This window comes from Homo sapiens, chromosome 4 (assembly GCF_000001405.40).
Source record: "Homo sapiens chromosome 4, GRCh38.p14 Primary Assembly".
Classification (NCBI taxonomy): domain Eukaryota; kingdom Metazoa; phylum Chordata; class Mammalia; order Primates; family Hominidae; genus Homo; species Homo sapiens.
The window spans coordinates 164,870,700-164,876,733 of record NC_000004.12 but is presented as its reverse complement, the minus strand read 5'-3'; the positions used below and the strand labels follow the sequence as shown (position 1 = coordinate 164,876,733).

The window sequence follows — 6,034 nt, the reverse complement described above, 5'->3', positions numbered from 1 at the left end:
GTTTACACGAACTCTCCAAATTGCCTAATTCACTGGGTTTGTAACAGTAAAGATTTTTGGAATTTAGAATGTTTTGAAATAAATCTGCAAAACATATACATTTATATTAATATTTTGTAAAGTGCAGTTTTAAAAGTAACAGATTATTTTCATCTGCAAATGTCCAGGATTTTAAAAAAGGAAGTTCAGGCAAGCCACAAACTCATGAAATCTGTGTTCGGTTAAAAATTTATATGTGGTGGAATACCAGGCTAACATACCACAGTCACAGAAATTGGAGATGGAGAAAACAAGTCTTAGTTCATCTCCCAGTGAATTCAGAAAACACAAAAACAGTCTAGCCTTGTCTTTTACACACATGCACCAAGATCTCTTTTTGTTTCAAGTGCTCCCTTATATATCAGATACAGCTGTTATAAATGGAAATGACTATACTTATTATGTAAGTATAATAAATTCCATTTATAACATCCATATCGAACATATTTTAGGTAAAATGCAAAATGCCAAAAGAATAGTATAGGTATGCCTTGAAACACAAGTACAGCCAAAGTACTAGCTCTAAAGCATGTGTAATTTGTTTTGAACCATTAGGAATTTTGTTGTATTTGGCTTCTTTAGACTCAGGTAGTTGGTACATAACCTTGGGGCTTCCTGAGGTTTGAATTTAATGCACAATTTGTCTTGATTTTATAAGTCAATCTGTAAATTTCCCTGCCTGTCTAGTTAGGCATGAAGTTTATAATAGGCGATGGCATACAAAAATTCTTAAATTCACTTTATTGAAGTCTTGAGAATATATTGACCTGTTTGGGGACTGCAAGCATAGTGTTAAAGGGTCCTACTTTACCATGCTGTCCATTGCTTCATAAAATCAATGGAATACAATAGAGTTTGAACTCATGATATACAAGTGACTTAAGAATGGCAAAGAGTTTATTCAGATTTTTAAATCCCTCCCCATTTCCCGCCCCAGTCTTCTTAGTACAGCATTCAGGAAAACAGCATGCTAACAAAGTTGAATGTTAAATCAATAAGAGATCAATATAGATTTTGGCACTATATTTTCAGGCCAAGTTTTAAGTCTATTCAAAGGTTTAGTAGTGAGTCTTTATAGATAAGATAGAGACCTACCACAGAGAGCAAATATTGACTAAAATTTTTATATTTCATTACCAGGTGATCAACAATGAATTCCTAGAATATCACTAATATGCACCAGTGCTGTGGAAGATACATATCTCCACTGATCAGGACAGAGCAAACTGTTATATTTAAGTCATCTAACCACATAGAACATTATTTTTCTCATTAAAAGAAAAAAGATGTGATAAAATACCTGGTTTTCTACCTGAAAGAGTGATTATGTATTAAACTCATGAAAATTTACACATGATTTATTTACATGTTTTAAAATTAGTCTTTCAAAAAGACAAACAAAAAGATGTTGTTTAAATAGTTGACTTTTGGAGTATAGTAATAAAGTGATTATACAGTCAATGAGCAACTGAAATGTTAGACATGGAGGTACAATGAAAAGTGATCCAGCATTTCTGTGGAATGTGAGTCAACAATAGCAATAAATCATTCATCTTAGTACTGAATAACTAGGTATGGAGAAATATTGGTAGGAAAGTGTCAGAACAATGCAACTGGCTCTGCAAACAGCACTTTCAGCCTGCAAGTATAAGAGAACAAGGCATCTTCTTTGTTTACAGGAACACAAACCTAGACTTCTATCCTACAGACAGCCTTTGTGAGGGAGGCAAGGGCTGTGCCCCGGGCCAAATCCTATGTTAAGTGTGTTGCATATGTTACTTCGCATAATCCTCCCCAAAACACTCTGAAGTATCATGACTCCCTGTTTACCAGATGAGAAAACTGACAGCTAAAGAGGTGTAGCCTCCAAGGGCTAGATGACCGGAAGAGGAATAGATGGGATCCAAATTCCATAATCTCAGCCCTCAAACATTTCGCTATCCTCCCTTTTAAGGCCCCAATCCCAGTTCTTAAAAAAGAAAAAAAAAAAAAAAAAAAAAGCCTATTGAAGCTATTATAAAACAAAAGATAAGTTAGCAATATATTTCTTGTACGAGGTTGAATATTGTGCCCCATAAAATTTATGTCCATCTGGAACCCAGAATGTGGCCTTATTTTGAAATAGGGTCATTGCAAATGTAATCAGTTAAGATTGAGGTCATACTGGAGTAGGGTGGGTCCTAAATCCAATATGGCGGCTGTCCTTATAGCAAAAAGAAGAGACAGAGACACACAGGGACAGGTGGGGAGGAGCTCTGTGATGATAGAGGCAAAGATGAGAGTTATGCTACCGTGAACCAAGGAACCAATGCCAAAGATAGCCAGCAACCACCAGAAGTTAGGGGAGAGACATGGAACAAAATCATTCTCTGAGTTTCCAAAAATCAACACTACTGACACTTTGATTTTGGACTTCTAGCCTCCTGAATTTGAAAGAACAAATTTATGTTATTTTAAGCCACCCAGTCTGTGGCACTTTGTTATAACAGCCCTAGGAAATCAATACATTTCTGTACCTACATATATTCTATAAGGATATAAATATTCTCTGTATAATCCAATAAATATATACTTATTTTATAGTAGTATACTATATATGCCAGGTATTTAACAAATGTTATTTTGTTTACACATCATAATCTTATGATGTAAGCTCTATCTTCATTTTACAGAAAAGGCAACAAACTCAGAGGATTAAGTGATTTGCCCCAGATAAAATAGCTCATAGCAAAGTTAATATGAGGCCTGTGTCTCTCAGTCCTGGGCCTCTTATCTCTTTGATTTGGATCTTGTGCCCTAACTTTTCCTAGGATATCCTTCCCAATTGATTTCATCGTTGCCACTTGCATCTTCAGTCTTTCCTTCTTTTTTATTTTTTATTTTTTTGAGACAGAGTCTCACCCTGTCGCCCAGGCTGGAGTGCAGTGGCGCAATCTCGGCTCACTGCAAGCTCCGCCTCCCGGGTTCACGCCATTCTCCTGCCTCAGCCTCCTGAGTAGCTGGGACTACTCGCCACCGCGCCAGGCTAATTTTTTGTATTTTTGTAGAAACGGGGTTTCACCATGTTAACCAGGATGGTCTCGATCTCCTGACCTCGTGATCCACTCGCCTTGGCCTCCCAAAGTGCTGGGATTATAGGCGTGAGCCACCGCACCTGGCTTCAGTCTTTCCTTCTTTACTGCATCCCTCTCTCCCTATAAAAGTACTCTTTCCAACCTAAAATTTCTCTCCCTTTGCCCATTATCATTCAGCTAGATGTCTGAAATAGAGTCCAAGCATTAAACTAACCTCCCTTCCTTCCTTCCTTCCTTCCTTCCTTCCTTCCTTCCTTCCTTCCTTCCTTCCTTCCTTCTTCCTTCCTTTCTCCCTCCCTCCCTCCCTCTCTCCCTCCCTTCCTTCCTTCCTAGCCAGGCTGGTCTCGAACCCTTGACCTCAGGTGATCTACCCGCCTTGGCCCCCCAAAGTGCTAGGATTACAGGCATGAGCCACCATGCCTGGCCTAAACTTTCAAATGTGACTTTTTCTGTGGACACTGCACTGCATCCAAATTAGGCTACACTCCGCTCACCTTTTTCGCTTTTCTTGTTTTTGTCATGCTTTGTGTTTCTTTTCTCTTTTTCTTTTTTTTTTTGAGACGGAGTCTGGTTCTGTCACCCAGGCTGGAGTGCAGGGGCACAATCTTGGCTCACTGTAACCTCCGTCTCCTGGGTTCAAGCAATTCTCCTGCCTCAGCCTCCCGAGTAGCTGGGATTACAGGCATGTGCCGTCATGCCCAGCTAATTTTTCTGTTTTTAGTAGAGATGGGGGTTTCACCATGTTGGCCAGGCTGGTCTTGAACTCCTGACCTCAGGTGATCCACCCGTCTCAGCCTCCCAAAGTGCTGGGATTACAAATGGGAGCGACGGTGCCTGGCCTTGTGTTTCTTTTCTTTAGAAAAAAAATCTGCTGGGTTTGTTCCAATTTTCCTTAATTGAAGTCCTACAAGTTCTTCAGGGTTTAATCAATCATTCCAGATCAGTTCAACAAATATTTGTAGAGTACTTAAACTACTTTTGTGTCCCAGGCTTTGTTGTGCATACTAGGGATAAAATCAGGAACCAGACATGTCACTATATGATGAATATAATGCTCATTCATTAAATTTAATTAATTAAATTTTCTTATAAATTAATTGAATTTTCTCTATAAGCATTTCCTGATTCCTACCAACTGAAGTGATTTTAGTCATGTTTCAGGGATCTGGAAATTTTCCTGTTATCATAGCCTTTTCATCACCATAGCATTTAATGCGTCCCTCGTGGGCCATAATACATTCATCCTGGTCTGACAGTTTCTTGAGCACGTATGGAATCCTGCAGAAATAAAAACTCCTTGAATGAACAAACTTGTTCTTTCCCATTTTGGTGTCTTCTCCAGAGTCTAGAAATATTGAATCATATTCAATCGAGTATGAAAATCATGAGATATTAAAAAGAATGCATGGGTGAGAACTTAAAACCAGTATGGCTCCAGAAACGAAAGTTGTAATGAAGAAAAAGAATATGTGAAAAATATTTACCTGGAAAAGTGAAAAAGATAAAAAATGAGGTGAATTCAGGAATTAATTACAGCAAGTACTAAGATGGCCGTTTATGGAATTTATGGAACTTGACCTAAGTTAAGGGTAGAAACTAGGTTACCTTTCAAGTCTGAAAATCTGTGTCTTGTAACTACACTCTCTAACCTGGGATTTGTCTAACTCTATAGAATGTAAACTTCATGAGGGTAGGAAGTTTTAACTGCTTTCTTCACTGCTATATTTTCAATGTCGTACTTGATGAATCAGCAAAATTCCACGCTAACCACGCTAGTGTAGTAAAGAAGATCTTAATCTTATGAGGATCAGCTCATGATTCCTGGTTAGCACACCTGTCTCTATTTGTGGTGGGATTAGCTCCTGCCCTCAGATGGAAGCATTTAAAGCTAATCCTGGTGGAGACAGAATGTGGCTCAATTTAGAGTGTATCTTCTCAAGTGTGTTTCCTATTTGATTACTGATTGTTTGGATGGTGTTCACTACCCCTTGCCAATACTTTGTTTTAACCTCAGGTATCTGCCTGTGGCCTTCTTTCTTTCTGGCTTCCTATTTCTTCCATTTCTCTGCTTTCTGACCCTCGCTGGATTTCAGACCACTATGTTTTTCTGCTTTCTGACTCTTGCTGGACTGACCTGGTTTTGGTATGTATTTTTCTTTTGATCCTTTGTTCCATTTTGACCACTTCTTGGTATAGACCAATGTAATGCTTTTTAGTTTTCATTCTCTACATTAGTTCTTTTAGGCCTTCCTTAATTCTCCAATTAATTAACTAAGCATTTACTTAATTTTATTATTTAATTAATTCTTAATTAGTTCTCCTAGGCCTACCTAATCTACTGCCATTCTTGGAAGTGAAATAGCACCAAGTGGAAAGCTAACAGCCAAAGTTATAGAAAATAGCATCATAGTAAATCAAAAAATTGTTAGTTTTGAAAACTTGTGTGAGCAAAATTGGCATTCTCCTTGCTTAGAGGAAATGATGGATTAGATGTGTCGGACATATCAAATGTATAAAATTCAAATATTGAGTGTGGTAAAACATTTATTCAGTACAATGCTCATTCAAAAATTTTCCCAGGATCTCCTTGGGCACATGTGCTGGTTGAAAAAACATTACTGATCATAAATGCTGCATCAGCCTAATATCTGAGCCAAAACATATATTTTTGCAAGAACCCATAAGTCCAAAAAAGGCATACACTTTTGAGAGTATGAATACCTTCCTAACCCTCATATGTCTGGCAAACCTGAGAAAAATAACATAGGAGTACGAGTAATAGATTCTTTATATTGTGTACAAAAATAACAGAGGTAGCAACATATGCGGAATATTCAGACATCCCTATATTGTGGTGATTCTTACCCAGGCTACTTGACTGAAGTGATTGGCCAAATGGCATGAAGAAGACCTTCTGGTAT

At 37.9% G+C, this 6,034-nt stretch overlaps 1 annotated feature.

Moving 5' to 3' along the window:
- Nucleotides 3,224-3,724: an enhancer, noted in NCBI's record as "H3K27ac hESC enhancer chr4:165794162-165794662 (GRCh37/hg19 assembly coordinates)". NCBI's record gives its function as "activates a minimal SCP1, AML or CMV promoter by ChIP-STARR-seq in naive H9 embryonic stem cells {active_cell/tissue: H9 hESC(naive)}" and the evidence as "EXISTENCE:reporter gene assay evidence [ECO:0000049][PMID:30033119]".